Source organism: Homo sapiens, chromosome 13, assembly GCF_000001405.40.
Source record: "Homo sapiens chromosome 13, GRCh38.p14 Primary Assembly".
In the NCBI taxonomy this organism is placed as follows: Eukaryota; Metazoa; Chordata; class Mammalia; order Primates; family Hominidae; genus Homo; species Homo sapiens.
In genome coordinates, this window is record NC_000013.11 from 91,812,188 (window position 1) to 91,837,341 (window position 25,154).

Below are 25,154 nucleotides of genomic sequence, written 5' to 3' on the forward strand. Positions count from 1 at the left end.
AACACTTGCAGAAGTCCAGACTATAAATATAAAAATGTCTTTGCTTTTAAGTTGATTAAATCTTATTGTTCTATTTCTTAGAACTGTTAAGTTGTGCCCCTCTATATTTATGTGCCTGTTTTTTAAAACACATAAATTTTTTGTTGCTTTGAAAGTATGGAATAAAGAAACACTGCTAGGAAAATGAAAAAGCAAGAAAACTGAAAATATGGTTTATTAGAAAAATATTTATGAAGTACTTTAGCACACTAGCTGCTTTATACTCTGCCACACACTTATGAAGTGATTAGAACATGTGTTGTTGCTCATGGTTTCCAAATGGGGAAACAAGGACTTAGAAAGCTTAAATAACTTCCCAAATTTAAATCTTGTAGTGGAATCTACAATAATGTCCAATTTGTCCTCTTCTAATTCCAATCCAGCATTTTTCTAGTACATATTCATTTTTGTTTGGTATATTCTTCAGTATTTCACAGTTTCCTGTGTTGTTTGAGTTCTTATTCTGTACTTATTTCACTCTCTCAGCGTTTTTATCCTATTCACCAGCAGAGAAAGAAGGTAGCTTTCTCAATTTCTGTTAATCTATATCACCAATCACTTAACTGTTGGAGTAACATAAACCTCAATAGCAGAAATGAAGACAACATTTGAAAAATCAGAAAGCTCTCGCTTTTTCTACCCTCTGACCCAGTTTGCAAGAGTCTATTGGTAAAAATGTCTTGACATCTTTGGAATGCTGTCAAGAAACACAGAGCCCAAATGAAGTCTGTATTCATTGTCTCTCACATACATTTTACCTGTTAAAAATGCATTTTCTGCAGTTTAAGCCCAAAGTGTCACGGAAGTACTACATTTCTGTGACTTGAAATTCCAAAATGAGACATTTCCATCTTTAAGCTGGAAACAATTCTTATACTTGTCACCTTTTGTAGTTTATAAAGGTTTCTTTTGATCCTTTTGCAGTTACTTGCTGAATATTGAAAGGGGCTTTTTTGACACATATAAAACAGGGTTTATGTGTGCATGTTTATTTTTATAAATTTATTTGTTGCTAGGTCCAAGAAGCCTTTTTCTCCCCTTTGCATTACTTTGATGCACCTGTTATGATCCTGCTGAAAGCTCCCTTGCTTCTTTGGAGCTCTGAGGGGAGCTTTGTACCTTTGAAATTTTCACGAGCTTTTGACTAGCTGCCAAGATTTCGGCTGCTGTGATGCAGTACAGAGGCAGCCATGCATTGGGCTGCCAAGTCTCAAATTCTTGTTTAGAATGACAGTGAGAACCTCCAGACCTCACTAAAGAGAATTTGCAGAACAGAACTGTATTCTTTCACAAGGTGGTTGGTGCCAAGGCCGGGTTGGTCTTTGACAGAGCAGAAACCAGGATGATCAATATCAGAAGCATCCTCATGCATGGTTTTCAAATCAGGAGTGGGGGTTAGGAATGAAGTTTGCCGAGTATTGGATATAACAGGGGATATTTAGAAAAGGTGCCAGGCATTGAACTGATTCAAATTTCTCCCAGTATCTACTCTTTTTGTAAAAGTAAGAAATTTTGAATTGGAAATAACCTAATTAGTTTAGAAAAACAAATAAATAAGAAAATAAGCATAGCATTTTTTAAAGGCTTAGCTACTTAAGCATTTAAAATACCTTCTCTCACAAAAGTTAAATCTTGTTCATGTGTACACTGGTTTTGATAAGATAATATTTAGACTGTTGGATTATCTTAACTGATTTTTTTTTTTTTTTTTTTTTTTTTTTTTTGAGACAGAGTATTGCTCTGTCACCCAGGCTGGAGTGCAGTGGCGTGATCTCGGCTCACTGCAACCTCTGCCTTCCGGGTTCAAGCCATTCTCCTGCCTCAGCCTCCCAAATAGCTGGGACTACAGGCACGTGCCACCACGCCTGGCTAATTTTTTGTATTTTTAGTAGAGACGGGGTTTCACCATCTTAGCCAAGATGGTCTTTATCTCTTGACCTTGTGATCTGCCTGCCTCGGCCTCCCAAAGTGTTGGAATTACAGGCATGAGCCACTGCGCCCGGCTAACTGAAAGTTTTAATATAGCTTTCAGGGATAACTTATGTACTCTTGAAACTATATCTGATATTTTGTATTTGTATGTATGTCTGTTGATGTCTCTCTCTGTATACATAGAAACATTTCCATATCTAGCTAGCTAGCTCCCATTTGCAGGTTTTGTATATCCAGTTACAACAGCATAGTAGGGGAAAAGGAACCTGACATCATAATATTCGGTATTTTTACAAGCAGGATATTAAAATTCATTTGCAAGTTCTTAGTGGAATGCAGTAGTTTTTGATCATATGTATTCTGCAACTTTATTTATTTATTTATTTATTTATTTATTTTGAGACAGAGTTTCACTCTCGTCACCCAGGCTGGAGTACAATGGCGTGATCTCAGCTCACTGCAACCTCCACCTCCTGGGTTCAAGCGATTCTTCTGTCTCAGCCTCCTGAGTAGCTGGGATTACAGGCACCCATCACCATGCCTGGCTAATTTTTATATTTTTTGTAGAGATGGGTTTTCACCATGTTGGCCAGGCTGGTCTTGAACTCCTGACTTCAGGTGATCCGCCCACCTCAGCCTCCCAAAGTACTGAGATTACAGGCATAAGCCACCGCACCTGGCCACAGCTTTATTTTTTAATTGAATGCTGTTATACATGAGAGTAGGAAACACCTATGGTTCAGTTTCTCTATGCCATTTGGAATATTTCAAGAACAGTATAGACATAACTTGCATTCCAATTGTTTAAAGAATTGTATGAGTCTGAATGTGGAAATTAACCATTTTGTTTTCAGTGCTAATTTTATGAGACCAATAAGCCTGCAATAGAATGACTAGGAAAGCTACTACCTTCATTAAGGAAAGAAGCTGGGTATGGTGGCTCACACCTGTAATCCCAGCACTTTGGGAGGACAAAGCAGGAGGATCACTTGAAGCCAGGAGTTTAAAATTAGCTTGGGCAATGCAGCAAATCCCCATCTCTACAAAAGAAAATAATAATAATAAATAAATAAATAAATTAGCCAGGCCTGGTGGTATGCACTTGTAGTCCCAGCTACTCAGGAACACTGAGCCCAGGAGGTCGAGACTACAATGAGCCATGATTGCACCACTGCACTCCAGCCTGGAAGACAAAGTAAAGTCAGAGACCACAGCCAACCAGAACATGCATTGCTCTTGGTGGATAAGTGAGGCAAAGCAATTTATACTGTTTACTCCCCTATTTTCCTTTCCTTGAATTTTTCTAATATTTGTGTTTTTATAGCATTGTATCCACACACAAAAAATGATATAGACGCTGTGATAGTCAGTGTGCTGCTCCCCAGGCACATAAATCATCTGACTCAAATAAATGAAAATCTGGACATTATGATTCCTTAGTGAGCACGATGTGAGGTATCCTCCCTCCAGCTGCTGTCAATGACACCACCAGGCTCAGCTCTGCCTCCCGCTGTGCCTCCACACCCTGCGTGAGACCCAATTTCTCACTTAAGACTAAAACAGTGCTTCTGTCTAGATCTGTGTTTTTCTACCATTTCTGTTTCGTTTCCACATACATAGAATTCATTTTTTCTTGAGTTAGACATATTTTATTTTCCTGAAAGCAAATAATAATTCAAATGAAGTGGCCTCTTTCTCCACTTTCTTCTTTGTTTACTCCTTCTTCCTTCCCTCATGCCACTCCTCCCTCCCACTTCCTCTGCTACCCCAGCACATCATGAAATACTGTACATGTTGATATATTGTATTTGATTATGTTAGGAGAGCAAAGGAGTATAACATATTGTTCCATTCCCTGGGAAGCTTACCTAGCTAAATAATATTATAAAATTTAAGTGCTGTGATCCTCAGAGAGATGAGAGGGAGAGATCAGTAAGGCCTACTTTAGCAAGGAGAGGCTTCATTTAATAAATATTTAATGATGATTTACTGTGTGTAATTTATTTGCGTGTTGACTGCCCCGCCTCCAAGCCCCTCACCCTTCTGCTACTGTAAGCTCTTCGTGTGCAAGTATTGTGTTTGTTTTGTTCAAAATTGTATACTGTCTACCTGTGATACTCAAGGTGGGCATTGGAAAGTATTGTTGAGTGAATGCTTAAAAGAATGGCAATTGGAGGATTCTCGGTTGTGCTTCTTTCTTTCAAGGAGATGGTACTTCAGCAGGGAAGCATCACATGAAGAATGTGATGGATTTGCTTTCAGGGAGGGAAAGGATGCACTCAGTTGGGGTCCCTCATTGCTGGTTCCTATTTTTATCTAGTTTAAGAAAGGACGAATTCACCCAGCATTGAAATCAAGTAGAAGGTAATTTACTACTTAGTCATTTATGTGATTTCATCCCAGCAGCCAGCTGTTTCCTGGATCATATTTTATTACAATTTTTATTTATAGTATGTCTTTGCAAGAAAAACATCCGGTGCAGCAGAGCTTAGTAGTTAGTATGTAATAATGTGTATTTGAAAGCTACATAGAAGACGCTTTTTGCAAGTTTCCCTACAACAGTGAGAGTATCAAATCCCCTTCTCCCATTTTTAAAGCTGTGAAGGATTTCCCCTGAGATTTATGGCTTTGGTACAATGGAAAGTGGATTAGACTTGAGGTTAGCAATCATGTGTCTGAATCTTCACCCTATCACTTAGCAGTGTGGACTTGGTAAATTGATTAACCTGGGTATGGCTCAGTTAAAACTTGCCTCACAAGTGAGAAGATGTGAGAGTTAAAGGGAAAAAAGATGTCAAGTGTCTGTACTAAGAACACGTATTTCTCTTTTTCCATCTCTCCAGTATAAAAAATGTTTGTTCTGGAAGTCTATTATTACAGCTTAGGAAGTAATTTAAATTATTCTTTCTGTGTTAATTCTGAATTTTAGCTTCATTTTAGGCACTTCATAGGAATGCCAGTATCACATACCTAGTCCATTTTATTTTGTGATTTCCCCCAAAACACCAAAATGCAATGCCAGCTCTTGACATATTGTTCTATCTTTCGACAGGAATTCGAATTCTTTTGGATTATAAATGCATGGATTGCCCAGAACATTTTCATGGTACATAATGGGAATGAATTATTCTTCAAACTTATTTTAGTCCAAAAAGGAACAAATGTTACAAAAGAATCAGGATAATAACTACATCTTTTGGAATCCTTCCTTATAACATTTATTTTGAATCCTTTCAGAGAAGCTCATGGAAATGCGCAGTCATGTCTGTAGATGGCATCCTTGTACCGGATGAAATAAAATGATAATTAAGTATGCGAGATCTTTCCCATAACAGTCAGCCCGTTTAGTGTAAAGTGTATACTTAAGAATCCATGATACCAGTTTTTGGAATTGGGAAATAATGCGTGGGAAGTTGATATGTATTTTTTGGGGAAAAAAAGTAGGAGACCAAATACAAACTGATGGGTTCTATAATAATTGTGTTTTCTTCTTAAAGTGTCTTAGAGGAGAAAAGTTGAAAAAGGGTCAAGATGAAAAGGCTTCACTTTTATTTTCTGGAAGCATTTAATCAAACCAATAGGACTGTGGACTGGTTAATGTCATCCCTAAGCCACCCCAAAATAAAATTCTGCAATCTCCCCATTCTTTCAACATATCTTATGTGATAAAGAACTTTTCGTACATATTTTTCATTTCTTTGTGATTAGCTTTTTCCTGGTTTATGTAAACTGTTCATGTATTTTTTCTTTCCTTTTTTTCTTAAAAACAACTATAATTGGATTTTTGTGTTTCTAATGCTGGCCAGGGTACTAATATTTTATTGTCGTATATGTTTTTGTAGTTCATGAAACAGTAAGGAAAATTTCACCTAAAAGGGTATTTTAATAGTCTGATTACTGGAATAAATTGTTGGGATAAATTGTGCACTCTTTTCCTGGAAACTGGCATCTGGGGAACAGCATTACCTACCACATATGATATATGACATGTATAAGTTGTTTATTCTAAGTTGCAGTTGGTACGAAAATATTTGAAAAGAAGCACCATATTTTTTCCTCCTAAGAACTCTAATTCCATTGTTTGTTTTTGTTTACCAGAATGTCTGGCAGCTTGTATATCACAACTGCTAGGCTATATCCACTTTCACCAAATCAGACTGGGACAAATATTTCATCAGCATTCACTGATAGCAAATAACACCCAACTTTTTATCTCATTTATTATGAACAATGATAATAATTGTTATATATAACTGACATTATTAAAAAGACCCTATATTACATAAATGTGATCATAGCTACAATTATGTAAATGTTCTAGCTCTAAGGTTATTTAAATTTAGCTTTGTGTAGAGAAATCATGTTTATTTGCACAGTTTTAGTATTCAATGGAGAAAAATATGATATAGAAAAATAATAAAATGCTGGGTCTCATTAGACTGATGGAGATAACCATGGTAAGATTGAGCATTGATTAAAAGACATTCTAGCACCAGCAAGTACTAGCAAGTTCTGTGCTAGGCCCTCCAGAAACAAAACCGGGGAAGATGTAGTCCCAGCCCTTGAGGGTCAATAACTCAGTGCAGGGGAAAGTAACATGCAAAACCGTAACAAGACAAAGCCAGCATTATAAGATATATAAATACAAGATGTTTTAGAGACAAAGAGGACACAACTAAGTTTACTTGAATGAGTTGAGTCCGTCCTCATGTGTTGGAGCTAACTCTTGAAGACAGCCACTGGACTTTTTTAATTTACATTTTTTTCAGTGGTTAAATATGACACACAGTGTAAAACATATATGTGGCATTTAATGGATGCATATAAAGTGAACATCATGTAAACAACATCAAGTTAGAAGACAGCGTAATGAAACATCCCCACCTAGAAACATGGGCGTATTGCCAGACTGCAAACTCCTGTTTGCTGTCAGATGTAAGCAATATCCTGACTTAACTGAGAATTATTTCTTTTTATTAAAAAAAATATGCGCTTTTTTTTTTTTTTTTTTTTTTTTTTGAGATGGAGTCTCACACTCTCGCCTGGGCTGGAATGCAGTGGCGTGATATCAGCTCACTGCAACCTCCACCTCCCAGGTTCAAGTGATTCTCCTGCCTCAGCCTCCTGAGTAGCTGGGATTACAGGTGCCTGCCATCACGCCCAGCTAATTTTTTGTATGTTTAGTACAGACCGGGTTTCACCATGTTGACCAGGCTGGTCTCAAACTCCTGACCTCGTGATTCGTCTGCCTCAGCCTCCCAAAGTGCTGGGATTACAGGTGTGAGCCACCACACCCGGCCATATGCTTTCTTAAATAGCAGAGTTTTGCATAGTTTTGAACAGCTATCATACTATATAGATTATTTTGTTTCTGGCATCTACTGCTCAATATTTTGTTTGTAAAATCCATCTATATTATTGCGTACAGCTGTGGTTTATTCATTTTAATTGCTGAATATTTTATGAATATAACAATTTATTGAGCTATTCTATTGCTGATGGATATTTGAGTGTTTTCACATTGGGGCTATTCAGAATAACATTACTTAGAGCTGCCTGTATATAATTGTTGCACGTGCCTATGTTTCTCTGCAATGCATACTGAGGAGAGAAATTGCTGGATTATAAGTTTTGCATGCTCTCAGATTTACTAGATAATGTCACACTGCCTTTTGATATGGTTGTATCAATTTATACTCTCATGATATGAGATGACATCTCCACATCCTCCGCAACACATAGTATTGTCAGACTGTAAATTTTTTAACAACTCAGTGAGTTTGAAGTTATATTTTTCTTAATTTGTATTTCCCTTATTTCTAATATTTACGGACTATTTGCCTTCCCTCTTTACAAAGCATTTTCTTGAATATTTTGCCCATTTTTCATTTATGTAGTCCTGTCTTTATCTTAATATTGGTAAGAATTTGTCATTGTCATTGTTGGTGGTGGTGGTGGTATTTTTGTTTTTATAGTCCCTATTTAGTTATTTTTTAAAAAAATATATTCTCTTACATTATGGTTTGCATTTGTACCATTTTCGTGGTGTCTGTGATGCACTAATTGTCAATATTTATATAATGGAATTTATTAATCATTTACTTTATTATTTGTGTTTTTTGGGAGGCTTTAAAATTTAGTCTTTACCCTAGGAAATAAAAATATGTTGTTAATAATTTTCTCATAGCCTTATAGGCATGTTTTTCAACAAAGATACCTAGAAATGAATTTTATACACAGGGCCATGCAAGTCCCATTTAGTTTATTTTCTATTTAAATTGATTTCCACTCGGCCCTCATTTTCTGCAAAGCCTCCCCCCACCACCATCCCACTACTCTGCAGTGCGAAGTATCTAATTTGTCAAGCGTCCATAAATAAATTGGTCTATCTTTGAGCGTATTATTCTGTTCCTTTTGTGTATGGGCTTGTCATTGTGCTACTACCATAGTTTGCTAATCAGTAGAAACTTATTATAAGTCTGCATGTTTAGTTGAGCTTTATTCTTCAAGAATATACTTCCAGGGCCGGGCGCGGTGGCTCACGCCTGTAATCCCAGCACTTTGGGAGGCCGAGGCGGGAGGATCACGAGGTCAGGAGATCGAGACCATCCTGGCTAACACAGTGAAATGCCATCTCTACTAAAAATACAAAAAATTAGCCGGGCGTGGTGGTGGGCGCCTGTAGTCACAGCTACTCGGGAGGCTGAGGCAGGAGAATGGCATGAACCCGGGAAGCGGAGCTTGCAGTGAGCTGAGATCGTGCCACTGCACTCCAGCCTGGGTGACAGAGCGAGACTCCGTCTCAAAAAAAAAATAAACAAATAAAATAAAAAAAAAAAAGAATGTACTTCCAGATAAATTTTTAAATTATGTTGTCAAATTATATGAAATGTGTTATGGTTTTGGGTGGGATAACATTCTATTCATATTGTAATGTTTCAACTTTTAAGCAATGAACATAGTATGCAGCTTCATTAGTTAACTGCCTTTAATGCTTCTCAATAATATTTTATATTTCTTGGAGATATCTCACACATCTATTTACAGTTATTCCCAGAATATCTAAATTGATATTCACTGTTACTATTGTAATTATTGAAACTTTGTTTTCTTGCTGTTGTTTATAAATAGGAATGCAATTTAATACATATGTCAAGTTTATATCCAGCAACCTTGTTAAACATCGTAATCTGTCCTAGACGTTTACTTTACATTCCTTGGCATATTATTGTATTGTCTAGGAAAAAGGCTCTTCCCCACTTTTTTCAATCCTTATACATTTATTTTCTTGTTCCGTTGTTTTGTTTAAAACTTCCTACAATGTTGAATAAAAGTGGAGATATTTCTTCTGATAATGATTCTAAATCAAAGTAATAATTTTAGTTATTCATCAATAAGTGTGAAGTTTTCTGTAGGTTTGATATATGTTATGTCAGATAAAGAGGGTTTCCCTCTATTTTTAGTTTGCTAAGAATTTTTTAATGAATGGATATTGAATTTTATCATATGGATTTTCTCAATCTATTGGAAGACGTAATGTGATTTCTTCTAATCTATTCATATGATTATTATATTAATGGATGCTAACTAATCATCAAAACTCCAAATCCTACTTAGACATTACATGTGATCCTTTTTATATATTGATAAAATCAATTTATTAATATTTTTATAGGATTTCTGTATCTGTAACTATGAATAGAATCTGGCTTGAGGTTTTTAAATGTGCAAAAAAATTTGAACTAAACAATCAAGGTTTAATGTGTCATACACATGCAAAATAGAACGTATTTTTAATTGTAAAATTAATTATCCTTAAAGGAAAGCCTTTATCTTATACTGCTTTTGTGCTTTTGGATTATTTGGAAAAAATTAATTCATTGTCAGAGCTCTGACTACACCGTAGAGTTCAAGTGCAACAGAATTGGTAGAACATAGAGTGGGATTTCCTAGATGTCCTTCTCAAACCACAAGTGAAGAGCAAGCATGTAGTATACAGACATCCCCAAAGTAGAAGTTATTCATGTTACAGTCAACTATAAGCCATCAATCATCAACTTGAGCTCCTTGAGAGCACTTGAGTCCCTGATTCGTTTGTCAGAAAAAGACAGACAGACAGACAATGAAACCTGGATGTTGATTAATTTCCATGGACACTCTTTGCTCTTTGGAAGAGTGGCAGGATGGACTTTCATTTGCTGCACTTTTGTCTGAAGCTATACATATAGAAAAGAGACGCAAGATCAGGATGAGATAAGAAATAACGCATTAACCTTCACACTTGAACATACTTTGTGAACATCGTCAGTAAGCAAGTTAAATAAATATTTAGAATTTCAAGATAATATTAACATTCTTTGTGAAAGCTTTTTATTTTACTAGGCAAGAGAACTTGTGCAGGGGAACTGCCCTTTATAAAAACCATCAGATCTTGTGAGACCTATTCACTATCATGAAAACAGCACAGGAAAAACTACCCCTGTGCTGTTCTCATGATAGTGCATAAGGTTCCTCCCATGACACGTGGGGATTATGGGAGCTATAATTCAAGATCAGATTTGGATCATAGGGTCAAGCCATATCACATAAGAAAAGGAAAAGTTTGCTGTTGAAGGAGGATGAATATGATAATCACAGGTACTTCAAAACTAGTATGTTCCTGCACTCTATCAATATCACATGAGTTGGACTCTAAGTCTAGGTAGCTCTCTCTTCCTCTTTATAAAGTTTTGAAAACTTCATGTTAGACACATGTATTAAATTAATATTATTCTCCTGTGCCTGTGAATTTTGCTTAGTTTCATTAGTGATTATAAGCATCTCATAATCATTTATTTATACCCAAATAAAGTGTCTTAAATGTTTGGGTTCTGACATCTACTAAACCAATGTAGAGACCAAGTCAGTATCACTATAGTATGATGGAATATACTGAGAAGGAAAAGGTTGAACCAATAAAGTATGTATTAATAGTAAAGGTAATAGCATTTAACATGTTTTAAATCGCAGAACTATGAAAAAGTAGGAGTTCAGATAATGTATTCTATTGCTTAGTTTTGGCAGTATATGTTGTTGAAAGCTTTATGTGTTATGCCACTACCCCCAAACTGCCAATATCTGGAAAAGATTTATAATATAGAGATTCCATAGATTTAGATGTTCATTCACCACAGTCTGTGCCTGAATACAAAAATATTTTTAACAAAATGTCTTTTTTTGTTTGTTTGATGCTCCACAGATGTGAAATATGGATCAACAGACTCCTCATGACCAATCATAAATTAGAGTAAAATTACCAAAGAGTATGTGAAAGTAAATTAATGCTCCCACTTCAACTTAAAGAATTATTAAGTAATGTCTTAGCTTCACCTTAGATGTTTGAAGCAGAGCTGCGAAAAGAACTAGTTTCTTCTCAGTCTTGATCCAGGATTTACCTTCTTCACATCTCTTTTACTTTCTTGAACTTGAAATGGATATTTCATCTTTATTCTTAGTCTTTTATTAATCTCTTAAAAATTATGACCCAAACTAACATAAACTGCACAAAACCAATTTTTGCTATAAAACAGTGAGTGCTTTTGAGTAAGATCCAATGTCATAATCACTCTTTGTCTATTATAATATATGTAACTGTATCTCCACCCCTTATTTGATTGCTATTTCATTTTTGCTTCATTAGTTCTTTCAATATGTCTATAACTAATGTTTATAATCTTATGTGTAATACCTGACATTTATAATTCTGTTTCTAAGATCATTTTCCTAATGGCTGAACCACTTTGAAATATCAATATGGTTGGTGTTGTGCATTTGGCAAAGTTATCTAATCGAGACCATTCTTCAGGACTGCTTGAAATCATGGGCCAGTACAGAATGCATTAGCTAAGTAAAACAGTAAGTGGTCACATGTGATTTAATAAAACAAATGCAATTTAAAAAGTCTTCAGGGAAAGAATAAGACTGTATAAATCTATTTCATTTCTCTCAATGCATAAGACAGTATACTATGTGGTTATGTGCTATTTGAAAGGTTTTTGAGCATCATAAAACTAAATTTTGAAATCAATTCAACAAAAATGACATAAATGGATAAAGAGAAAGACAGAAAGATGAGATTATAATTGGACTATGATGGCATGAAATTTTGAAGGAAGAAAATTAGGGCACTAAATTAAGGAGGGTAGAAGGAGAGAGACTGAGGAAAGAAAGTCTAGGAAGCATTTAAACCCCAGACAGTGTTTTAATAAGAAAAGTTTTAAATGGCTCAGTATTCATTGTAGATTCATGGCAATCCAGTTTTGCAACATGGCAAAGTGAAATGTGAAAGGCAGATTAAAGTTCCAGTACTGGCTGAGATAATTAATGGTTTATGATTTTGGATAAGTTACTTTAAGTTTTTCAGCTTTAGTCTCTTCATCTGTAAATAAATAGGAGTTATTTACTTTAAAAAATGTGTGAAAGTAAAATAGAATCACATATTCAAAAATGCCTATCTCAGTATTTGGTTCATGGCATACCTCCAATAAATGTTTCTTTGTCCCCTTCCCACTTAATATTATTGAGATTGTTTATCTAGATGTGATGGATCACATCTGGCATAAGTATATCATGGGAGAATTTCTTTTCCAAGAAGATTAAATCCTTAGTATATTTGAATGAAACTTTATTAAATAGTTATTATAAAATCTAATCTCTATTGAACACTTTCTATGTACATTAGATATTCTGCATGAAATATTACATTTAATTCTGACTGCAATTTTATGTTATTTCTATCATTCTGTTTTGTAGATTTGGTCATTCATATAAAGAATAAATGGTTATGCAGAAATGAAAACTAAGTTTGTCTTATTCTAAAGCCTGTGATCTCAACCATGAAATTATACTGTTTAATTGATATTCATCAATGATGCTAACATTTAGAGATTTAACATATATTTGTTTTCCAGAGAGAGAGAGAGAGGATCGGGTGGGGGAGGGAGAGAGAGAGAGCTAGAGAGAGAAAGAGAGAGACAGAGTGGAAGAGAAAATAGAGAATATCAAAAGAGTATGACATGGCTATAATTGATTTTTATTCTGTACCTAACTTTTTGAACTTGCCCAAGCAGCAGTATCTCTCAGTCTTACTTTTTGTAATGTAAAACTGGATAAATATGCTTATCTCCAATGTTATCTTCAGGATTAAATGAAATTATACGTTTGTGTGTTGTGTCTAAGCACATGTTTATGTGTAGTGTATAGCATTGCCCTATTCTTGGCAGAGTAATAAAATGAGCTGTCCGTTTTTATAGATTGAAAATATTTGAATCATAATGCCTTATAATGGTTGAAATAAAAAGTGAACCACTTCATTCCAATTCCAGCAATAGCAACAGAGTTGGAGCTGAAAATTATAAACCCTGGGGAAAATATAGAACAGCTATGTGAAATCACAGAAAAATGGCCAAAAGAAAGTAGAAACTGGAAGGGATTTGATCCCTGAAGAAAAGAACTATACTGGGTGAGATTTGTGTTCATGTGGCTTTTTGTCAGAGGATGCTCCGGACTCACGTGATACCAGTTGGCTGGAACTGAAGCCAAAAGCCACAGACTTACTGGCTTGAGGAGTCAGATGATGAGGTTTGAGTCTACAAGACAGTCATGAAAATGAAAGAGGAATTTAATAAAGGAGGGAACAACAAAGGGAAGAAGCCTCAACTCTGCATATCTGAACTGTTCCCAAATCTTTGGCTTACTCCTCAACAGTACTTACATGAGGGAAGCTCCAAACATTCTGAAACAACATAACAACTGGCAGGCTAAAAGAACCCAGTAGTAAGTCTAGCTGCTGTCCACCACCAGTGAGACAGATCGTGAAGTTAGTCTGGACAAGTTAACTAAAAATAACATTCTTCAGAGGAAGATAACAGAGTCCAGAGTTTAATACATGTCCACAAACTTCAGTTGAAAATAATAAAAAATATGCATGCAAGGAAATATGAGAAACAGGACCAAAAGTAAAATTAAAAGGCAGTTAATATTAAATAAATGATGAGATGTCTACATGTTGCATTTAGCAGATAAAGACTTTAAAGCAGTCATATTAAATACGTTCAAGCACTTAAAGGTAAATATGTTTTCATTGGAAGAACAGATGTGGAATATCAGCATCTGTCTCTATCTACCTAATATATATTGGTCTATCATCTATCAAGAGTACCAAATGGAAATTTGAAGTACAGTTTCTATTGAAAGTATATTGCTTTTATACCATCATAAAATCATAAGTTGAGAAATCATAAGTCAGGGAGCATATTAAGAGGTCAATTCTCCCCTAAATTAATGTATATTTTCAGTAAAATACCAAAGTCTCAAGAGGCTGTTTTATATTAAATTACAAAATATTTAAAAATCTATATGGACATATGGAAGACAGAATAAGCAAAACAGTCTTGAAAATGATGTCTATAATTGAAGTATTTACACTATTTGACATCAAAGTTTAAATTAAAGTCAGAGTATTCAGTAGTGTATGGAACTGACACGAGAATTGACAAATAGATCACTAAAGCAAAAGAGTAAGTTCAATTAACTTTTAGCAAAGTTGCCAAAGCAATTCAATTGGTAAAGGAAAGCATTGTTAATAAATGATTTAAAAACACTGTTCAATTGAATGAGTGTTTGTGTGTGTATGTATGTGCATGTCACACCATACAAATCAATTCATGATGGATCATAGACTTAAACATAAATACAAAATTTAAGAGTGGAAAGATGGTTACCAGAGGCAGGAAAGGGGAGTGGGGAGGGGGAAATAAAGAGGAGTTGTTGAATGGGTAGAAAAAACGTAGTTAGACAAAGTAAGATCTAGTGTTTGGTAGCATAATAGGGTGAATTTAAGTAACAATAAGTCTATATTTAAAAATAAAATAGTGGAATTGGAATGTTTCTAACACAAATAAATGATAAATGCTTGTGGTGGAAGATATCCCAATTACCCTGATGTGATCATTACATATTGTGTGTTTATATCAACATATCAGGTGTATTCCATGAATATGTACAACTATTATGTATCAATAGAAATTATTTAAAAATGTATAAAACCTATAAAGCTTTTAAAAGAATACAAAAATATATCTTCTTGACTTATAGCACAATAAAGAATAACCAAAGCATTAAAAATACCATGTAAACTGCATCCAAATGATAAGTATCCTCATGAAAAGACACTTATAATATGCACACAGGCACGAATTGGAATAAATATGCATAAAATCTATATTGGGTAAAGGCTGGCCTAGAATATATAAAGAGCTCCTACAATTTAATTATTAAAAGACAAATGAATAGAAGAACAAAGGACATGAACAGACACTTAGATCATAAAGGAAGATATATGAAATGGCAATTAGCACATACAGATTGCTCAGTTATTAGTCATCATGGAAATGTAAATCAAGACCCTAGCTCAGTTATTAGTTATCATAGAAATGTAAATCAAGACTGCAATGAAATATCAGACTACACAAATTAAATCTGCTGAAATTAAAGACTTAAACTGTTTCTTGCTGAGCGTATAGAATAACTCCTATACTGATTGAAGTTTAGAATGATATAATCACTTTGGAATGTGTTTTTTGACACTTTCTTATAGTTATACACACCACTTACTCCTTAACTTGGCAATATGTCACTGGATATTTACCCAAGAGAAATTAAAATATATCCATATAAAGACTTGTTTATACGTACTCACAGCATCATTATTCAAAATAACCCAACATTGTAAAATGGAAATATCCATCAACAGCAGAAAAGATAACCAAACTTGTGTATTTACACAATGAATTCTGAATATAATAAAAAGGAACAAACTAGTGATAGATGCAACAACATGGCTGAATAGCAAAAGCATTATGCTGAGTAAAATAAGCCAACATACGATTTCATTTACATGAAGTACTTAATATTGAAATCTAATGATGCACAAATCAGAACATTGGTGCTTTGTGTAGAGTGGAAAGATAACTTTCTCAGATTACTTTAATGTTTCTTATCTTTATAGATTATGGGAGTGTGCATTTTCAAAAACTCATTGAATGGTACATTTAATATTTGTGCATTTCACCCTATGTCACTACTCACACTCACCCCTCATACACACACAATAACTGTATGTGAATGTCCTTCCAATATAGATAGGTAGATAGGTAGGTAGGTAGGTAGGTAGGTAGGTAGGTAGGTAGGAAGGAAGATAGATAGAGACACACAGATACACACACACAAATACTTCCTTGTTCTACTCGTTAAGAGTACCTCACAGCAATGTCACGTTGATTGCAATGATCATGACTATCTCGCAGATCCTGGTTTTCAAATATCATTCTCCAATAAAAATAATGAGGACTCCTTGGATAAATGGATGGTTCCAGGGCCTGGGTAGGGAAACTACAACATCTGCCTAGAATATTTTTTTCCAGAAAGTAAATGCTTTCTCAAAGAATGTTAGATACAGGTGGAAAGCACCCAGGGGCCAAACTGAAGAAGCTCCAAATGTACACACCTGGCACAATTTGAGTATCAGAAATTAGTAAATACAGTAGAAGATCATAATGTGCTTAATAAAGTAGGAATCTATGAACCTAAACTGATATAAGGAAATGAATCAATGAGAGAAAAGGGAAGCTCTTCCTTGCAATAAACAAAAAAATGTACAAAAAAGAAGAGGTTGGAAAGTCACTAAATTGTAGGTATAATAATAATAATTGCTTCAGCCAAAAATGATGAATATGTGCTACCACTAATGGGTAATATTTTGATGAGGGGCATCATAATGACATAATGTCAAAGTGTTACCCACTAATTATTTATTAATTACCAAAAGAGAAAGCATGAATTTTACAGTGGATAAATGTTGTGTTCAGCACTTTAATCAAATTATTAAAGTTATTATCAATATTGGGTTAAAATGACACCATGTGCCTCCTGACATGATGTACTAAGAAGGCTACACATGACCTCTATGGCATTCTTGCCAAAAGGACATAAACTCCTCTAATTATGAGAAAACAATGGGATACTCAATATGAAGGAGAGTCCAAAAAGAAATGGCCTTTCCTCTTTGAAAATTTTAAGGGGAAGAATGACAAATAAAAGCAGAAAAAAGACACAATTCATATTAGAGACTAAAGCAATATGACAGTATGGCAACTAAATGCAGGAACATGGACCGGATTCAAGACTGGATCCTGTACTGGGAAAAACTATGGAGGACATAATGAGGACATAATGAGAATGATTTATGTTAGTATTAAATTTTTTGATTTTGGTTTTGATAATTATTGTGTGATTGAATATGAAAATTTCCTTGTTCTTAGGAAACAATGTATACACTAGAGTGTATATGGGTGAGAAAGAATGAGTAAATAGAGCAAAATGTAAATAATTAGTTTATCTTGGTGTATTAGTCAGGGTTCTCTTAGAGGTATCGGGGAACCTGCCCTGATAGTCATGTAGGTTCTTTTCTATTTTCCCTAGGCATCAGCCAGCTTGAGAAATAAAGGGACAGAGTACAAAAGAGAGAAATTTTAAAGCTGGGCATCCGGGGGAGACATCACATGTCGGTAGGTTCCGTGATGCCCCACAAGCCATAAAACCAGCAAGTTTTTATTAGGGACTTTCAAAAGGGGAGGGAGTGTACGAATAGGGTGTGGGTCACAGACAGCAAGTACTTCACAAGGTCATAGAATATCACAAGGCAAATGGAGGCAGTGTGAGATCACAGGACCACAGGACTGGGATGAAATTAAAATTGCTAATGAAGTTTCAGGCACCATTGTCATTGATAACATCTTATCAGGAGACAGGGTTTTGAGAGCAACCGGTCTGACCAAAATTTATTAGGTGGGAATTTCTTCTTCCTAAGAAGCCTGGGAGTGCTATGGGAGATGGGGGTCTATTTCACCCCTACAGTCTACAGACCATAAAAGACAGCCACGCCCAGGGGGGCCGTGTATAGACCTACCCCCAGGCACGTATTCTCTTTCCCAGGGATGTTTCTTGCTGAGAAAAAGAATTCAGCGATATTTCTCCCATTTGCTTTTGAAAGAAGAGAAATATGGCTCTGTTCTGCCCAGCTCACCGGCAGTCAGAGTTTAAGGTTATCTCTTGTTTCCCAAACATTGCTGTTATCCTGTTCTTTTTTCAAGGTGCCCAGATTTCATATTGCTCAAACACACATGCTCTACAATTTGTGCAGTTAAGACAATTATCACAGGGTCGTGAGGCAACATACATCCTCCTCAGCTGACAGGATTAGGAGATTAAAGTAAAGACAGGCCTAGGAAATCACAAGGGTATTGATTGGGGAAGTGATAAGTGTCCATGAAATCTTTACAGTTTTATGTTCAGAGATTGCAGTAAAGACAGGCATAGGAAATTATAAAAGTATTAATTTGGGGAACTAATAAATGTCCATGAAATCTTCACAATCCATGTTCTTCTGCCATGGCTTCAGCCGGTCCCTCCGTTTGGGGTCCCTGACTTCCCACAACATAGAGGGACAGAACTAATAGGATATATATATATGTGTATATATGTATATAAATATACACATATATATATCCTATTATATATAAAATATATATATACTATTATATATATAATATATATCCTATTATATATAATATATATCCTATTATATATAATATATATATCCTATTATATATAATATATATCCTATTATATATAATATATATATCCTATTATATATAATATATATCCTATTATATATTATATATCCTATTATATATGATATATATCCTATTATATATTATATATCCTATTATATATATAATATATATATCCTATTATATATATAACATATATATCCTATTATATATATTATATATATCCTATTTATATATATCCTATTATTATATATAATAATATATATCCTATTATATATAATATGAATGTATATATATGAGTTTATTAAGTATTAACTTACACAATCATAAAGTCCCACAATACACTGCCTGCAAGCTGAGGAGCAAGGAGAGCCAGTCCGAGTGAGTCCCAAAACTTGGAGTCTGATGTTGGAGGGCAGGAAGCATCCAGCATGAGAGAAAGATGCAGGCTGGGAGGCTAGGACAATCTCTCATTTTTACATTTTTCTGTCTGCTTTATATTCCCTTGAAGCTGATTAGATTGTGCCCACCAGATTAAGGGTGGATCTGCCTTCCCCAGCCCACTGATTCAAATGTTAATCTCTTTTGGCAACACTCACACAGAAACACCCAGGATTAATACTTTGTATCCCTCAATCCAATAAAGTTGACACTCAGTATTAACCATCACACTTGGCAAAAGTTATATTAGTGTCTACAGTCTGTATAATTTTTGCAAATTTTCTATAAATTTGAAATTATATTGAAATACATAGGTAAAAATGCACACCTAACTTTTTCCATTGCTAATTATATAGTGTTGGTTCTGGAGAATGATGACTAATATATCATTAATCCTAAAACTTTGAAAAAAAAAGGCAGCTTACCTTCTTAGAAAACTAAAAATATATTAATTAAAGAAAATTAGCAGGTTTTTCAGTTTCCATGTAGTTGTGCAGTTTTGAGTGAGTTTCTTAATCCTGAGTTCTAATTTGATTGCACTGTGGTCTGAGAGAATGTTTGTTATGATTTCCATTCTTTTGCATTTGCTGAGGAGTGCTTTACTTCCAATGATGTGGTCAATCTTAGAATAAGGGGGATGAGGTGCTGAGAATTATGCATATTCTATCGATTTGGAGTGGAGAGTTCTGTAGATGCCTATTAGGTCTGCTTGGTCCAGAGCTGGGTTCAAGTCCTGAATATCCTTGTTAACCTTCTGTCTCATTGATCTGTCTAATAGTGACAGTGGAGTGTTCAAGTCTCCCACTATTATTGTGTGGGAGTTTAAATCTCTTTGTAGGTCTCTAAGAACTTGCTTTTTGAATCTGGGTGCTCCTGTATTGGGTGCATATATATTTAGGATAGTTAGCTCTTCTTGTTGCATTGATCCCTTTACCAATGCAACTTCAATGTAATGCTCTTCTTTGTCTCTTTTAATCTTTGTTGGTTTAAAGTCTTATCAGAGGCTAGGATTGCAACCATGCTTTTTTCTCTTTTTTTTTTTTTTTTTTGCTTTCCATTTACTTGGTAAATATTCCTCCGTCCCTTTATTTTGAGCCTATGTGTGTTTTTGCATGTGAGATGGGCCTCCTGAATAGAGTACACTGATGGGTCTTGACTATCCAATTTGCCAGTCTGTGTCTTTTAATTGGGGCATTTAGCCCATTTACATTTAAGATTAATATTGTTATGTGTGAATTTGATCCTGTCATTATGATGCTAGCTGGTTATTTTGCCCATTAGTTGATGCAGTTTCTATCATAGTGTCGATGGTCTTTACAATTTGATATGTTTTTGCAGTGGCAGATACTGGTTGTTCCTCTCCTGAACGACTACTGGGTAAATAATGAAACTAAGGCATAAATAAAGATGTTCTTTGAAACCAATGAGAACAAAGACACAACGTACCAGAATCTCTGGGACACATTTGGAGCAGTGTTTAGAGGGAAATTTATAGCACTAAATGCCCACAAGAGAAAGCAGGAAAGATCTAAAATTGACACCCTAACATCACAATTAAAAGAACTAGAGAAGCAAGAGCAAACACATTCAAAAGCTAGCAGGAGGCAAGAAATAAATAAGATCAGAGCAGAACTGAAGGAGATAGAGACACGAAAAACCCTTCAAAAAAATCAATGAATCCAGGACCTGGTTTTTTGAAAAGATCAACAAAATAGATAGACCACCAGCCAGACTAATAAAGAAGAAAAGAGAGAAGAATCAAATAGATGCAATAAAAAATGATAAAGGGGATATCACTACTGATCCCACAGAAATACAAACTACCATCAGCGAATACTATAAACACCTCTACACAAATAAACTAGAAAATCTAGAAGAAATGGATAAATTCCTGGACACATACACCCTCCCAAGACTAAACCAGGAAGAAGTCAAATCCCTGAATAGACCAATAACAAGTTCTGAAATTAAGGCAGCAATTAATAGCCTACCAACCAAAAAAACCTCAAGACTGGATAGATTCACAGCCGAATTCTACCAGAGGTACAAAGAAGAGCTGGTACCATTATTTCTGAAACTATTGCAAACAATAGAAAGAGGGAATCCTCCCTAAGTCATTTTATGAGGCCAGCATCATCCTGATAACAAAACCTGGCAAAGGCACAACAACAACAACAAAAGAAAATTTCAGGGCCACTATCCCTGATGAACATCAATGCAAAAATCCTCAATAAAATACTGGCAAACCAAATCCAGCAGCACATCAAAAAGCTCATCCACCACGATCAAGTCGCCTTGATCCCTGGGATGGTTCAACATATGCAAATCGATAAATGTAATCCATCACATAAACAGAACCAATGACAAAAACCACATGATTATCTCAATAGATGCAGAAAAAGTCTTCGACAAAATTCAATACCCCTTCATGCTAAAAACTCTCTCAATAAACTAGGTATTGATGGAACGTATCCCAAAATAATAATAGCTATTTATGACAAAACCACAGCCAATATCATACTGAATGGGCAAAAACGGGAAGCATTCCCTTTGAAAACCAGCACAAGATAAGGATGTCCTCTCTCACCACTCCTATTCAACATTGTATTGGAAGTTCTGGCCAGGGCAATCAAGCAAGAGAAAGAAATAAAGTGTATTCAAATAGGAAAAGAGAAAGTCAGATTGTCTCTGTTTGCAGATGTCATGAGTGTATATTTAAAAAACCCCATCATCTCAGCCCAAAATCTCCTTAAGCTGATAAGCAACTTCAGCAAAGTCTCAGGATACAAAATCAATGTGCAAAATTCAGAAGCATTCCTATACACCAAATAACAAACACACAGAGAGCCAAATCATGAGTGAACTCCCATTCACAATTGCTACAAAGAGAATAAAATACCTAGGAATTCAACTTACAAGGGATGTGAAGGAACTCTTCAAGGAGAATTACAAACCACTGCTCAAGGCAATAAGAGAGGACACAAATAAATGGAAATATATTCCATGCTCATGGATAGAAAGAATTTATATCGTGAAAAGGGCCATACTGTCCAAAGTAATTTATAGATTCAATGCTATCCCCATCAAGCTACCATTGACTTTCTTCACAGAATTGGAAAAAACTACTTTAAATTTCATATGGAACCAAAAAAGAGCCCACACAGCCAAGGCAATCCTAATAAAAAAGAACAAAGCTGGAGGCATCACACTACCTGACTTCAAACTATACTACAAAGCTACAGTAACCAAAGCAGCATGGTACTGGTACTAAAACAGATATATAGACCAATGGAACAGAACAGAGTCCTCAGAAATAACACCACACATCTACAACCATCTGATCTTTGACAAAACTAACAAAAACAAGCAATGGAAAAAGGATTCCCTATTTAATAAATGGTGTTAGGAAAACTGGCTAGCCATATGCAGAAAACTGAAACTGGATCCCTTCCTTACACCTTATACAAAAATTAACTCAAGATGGATTAAAGACTTAAACCAAGGACCTAAAACCATAAAAACCTTAGAAGAAAACGTAGGCAATACTATTCAGGAAATAGGTATGGGCAAGGACTTCATAACTAAAACACCAAAAGCAATGGCAACAAAAGCCAAAATTGACAAATGGGATCTAATTAAACTAAAGAGCTTCTGCACAGCAAAAGAAACTTTCATCAGAGTGAACAGGCAACCTACAGAATGGTAGAAAATTTTTGCAATCTATCCATCTGATAAAAGGCTAATATCCAGAATCTACAAAGAACTTAAACAAATTTACAAGAAAACAACCCCATCAAAAAGTGGGTGAAGGATATGAACAGACACTTCTCAGAAGAAGACATTTATGTCACCAAGAAACATATGAAATCTCATCATCACTGGTCATTAGAGAAATGCATATCAAAACCACAATGAGAAACCATCTCATGCCAGTTGGAATGGCAATCATTAAAAAGTCAGGAAACAACAGATGCTGGAAAGCATGTGGAGAAATAGGAACACTTTTACACTGTTGGTGGGAGTGTAAGTAAGTTCAACCATTGTGGAAGACAGTGTGGTGATTTCTCAAGGATCTAGAACCAGAAATACCATTTAACTCAGCAATCCAATTACTGGGTATATACCCAAAGGATTATAAATCATTCTACTGTAAAGACACATGCACACATATGTTTATTGTGGCACTATTCACAATAGCAAAAACTTGGAACCAATCCAAATGCCCATCAATGATAGACTGGATAAAGAAATGTGGCACATATACACCATGGAATACTATGCAGCTATTAAAAGGATAAGTTCATGTCCTTTGCAGGGACGTGCATGAAGCTGGAAACCATCATTCTCAGCAAACTAACACAAGAACAGAAAACCAAACACCCCGTGTTCTCACTCATAAGTGGGAGTTGAACAATGAGAACACATGGACACAGGGAGGGGAACATCATACATCAGGGCCTGTCGGGGGTTGGGGGGTGAGGGGAGGGATAGAATTAGGAGAAATACCTAATGTAGATGAAGGGTTGATGGGTGCAGCAAACCGTCATGGCACGTGTATACCTATGTAACAAAACTGCACGTTTTGCACAGGTACCCTAGAACTTAAAGTAGAATAATAAAAAAAAGAAAATTAGCTAAATCCATTATGACAGAGGAAAACTGAGTCATTATGAATCTTTTAGATCTAGAACTTTACAGTTCTTTAAGCACACCATTTACTAAAGTCTTTACCTGCCATGGGTACACTGTTTTGTAGTTTATTTAAAGATAAAAATAAATGCATTTAATGTGATGGTGTGGGGGAATGATCACAGAAGAGAATACTAAGCACTAAGAAGAAATTTAAATATTGTATGTTACTATGTACTCAGAAAAATTTTGACAATAAATACTCTAAATGTTGTAATTAAAAACTATTGAATATTGATATTATATAGGAGGTTGATATAAATATCAATATTAAAATAATTACTTTTCAGAAAATCACTACATTTAATACTTTTGACCTCCATTCCTTTTCATTTAAACTTTTTGGTTTTCATTTGAGATTGTTTTATTTAAATTTATGAACACTTTCTTCATCTGCAGTACAGCAAATTTTCTTGCTGTATTTCAGGGACAGAAGCATACATTTAGATTTGGTGGCAGAGTTGGTTTACCTCTGGCCATATAAGTAAAAAATATCTGTTCTGCTTAAAACATAGCACTTAATATTACTGTTAATATTTCAATTATGAATATATACTGAGTGATTTACAGATTAGCTCTTTTTGATAAAAGTGTATTGATAAAATCATGAGTGCTCATTAATCATGAATTTATTTCATAATATAAATGTGAATTCAATCTTAAGGTAAATTTTAATGCACTTTTAAATATCATCTGACATACATTTTGAGGTTCATTTTATGTTTAAGGAAATACCTTTTCTGTTCATATTTGCCATCATATTTACACTCACATCCTTCCAAATCCTTAATTTTTGCTGACTGGGACAAATTAGTCTGACTCAAAATATTTTATTTACTACTTTAAATATATTTAAATGTTTTTAAAAATATATTTTAAAAACCTTAAAAGTATAATTATGCTCAAATAAGAAATCTGTTCCCATTCTATATGGCAGTTAAATTGTTTGGTTTCCTATAAAAATTTGGCCAAATTATTTGCTAAATTGTTTTTGCCAAATTGAATAATTTGGAGGTTTTGAATAATCAGAGGTTTTTGAAAATACTTATATCAGAAATTAAAACTAAGAGATGAAATTTAATATTTTAATATATATTTATATTTATTTATTGATTTGAATTTATATTTAAATATATAAGAGAAATATACATATATCTCTCTTACTCCCAAGGCAAATTAAAATTTTCTAAATTGTGTTTGCCAGTAACTTTCCAATAAATCAAATTAATATCTAAATTACTATTAGAAATCCCTATTTTTAATTTTCTTTTATTAAAAATTTTTGAGATCTCTGTTTTCAAAGGACCAAAAACTTTTTGATCTGATTGCCTTTCATCTGTGAAACTCAATTATGGTTCTATCATTGGGAATCAGGAAAGTTAT

At 34.7% G+C, this 25,154-nt stretch overlaps 1 protein-coding gene across 7 annotated transcripts in view; it reads left to right on the forward strand.

Moving 5' to 3' along the window:
• GPC5 (glypican 5) overlaps positions 1-25,154 on the forward strand; it is a 1,468,617-nt gene that overhangs the window by 413,567 nt on the left and 1,029,896 nt on the right. For 2 of the 7 annotated variants that reach the window (XM_011521058.3, XM_011521060.3), the window contains one exon: positions 11,210-12,808. The exons of 4 other annotated variants lie outside the window; for them this stretch is intronic. Coding sequence is in view for 1 of the 3 variants with exons in the window: in XM_011521060.3 (XP_011519362.1) it covers positions 11,210-11,261 (52 nt within the window). In the remaining 2 variants the exon portion in view is untranslated. Of the gene's footprint in view, positions 1-11,209; positions 12,809-13,334; positions 14,612-25,154 lie in introns of those variants that run through there. One more of the 7 variants, XM_011521059.3, reaches the window with a different exon arrangement.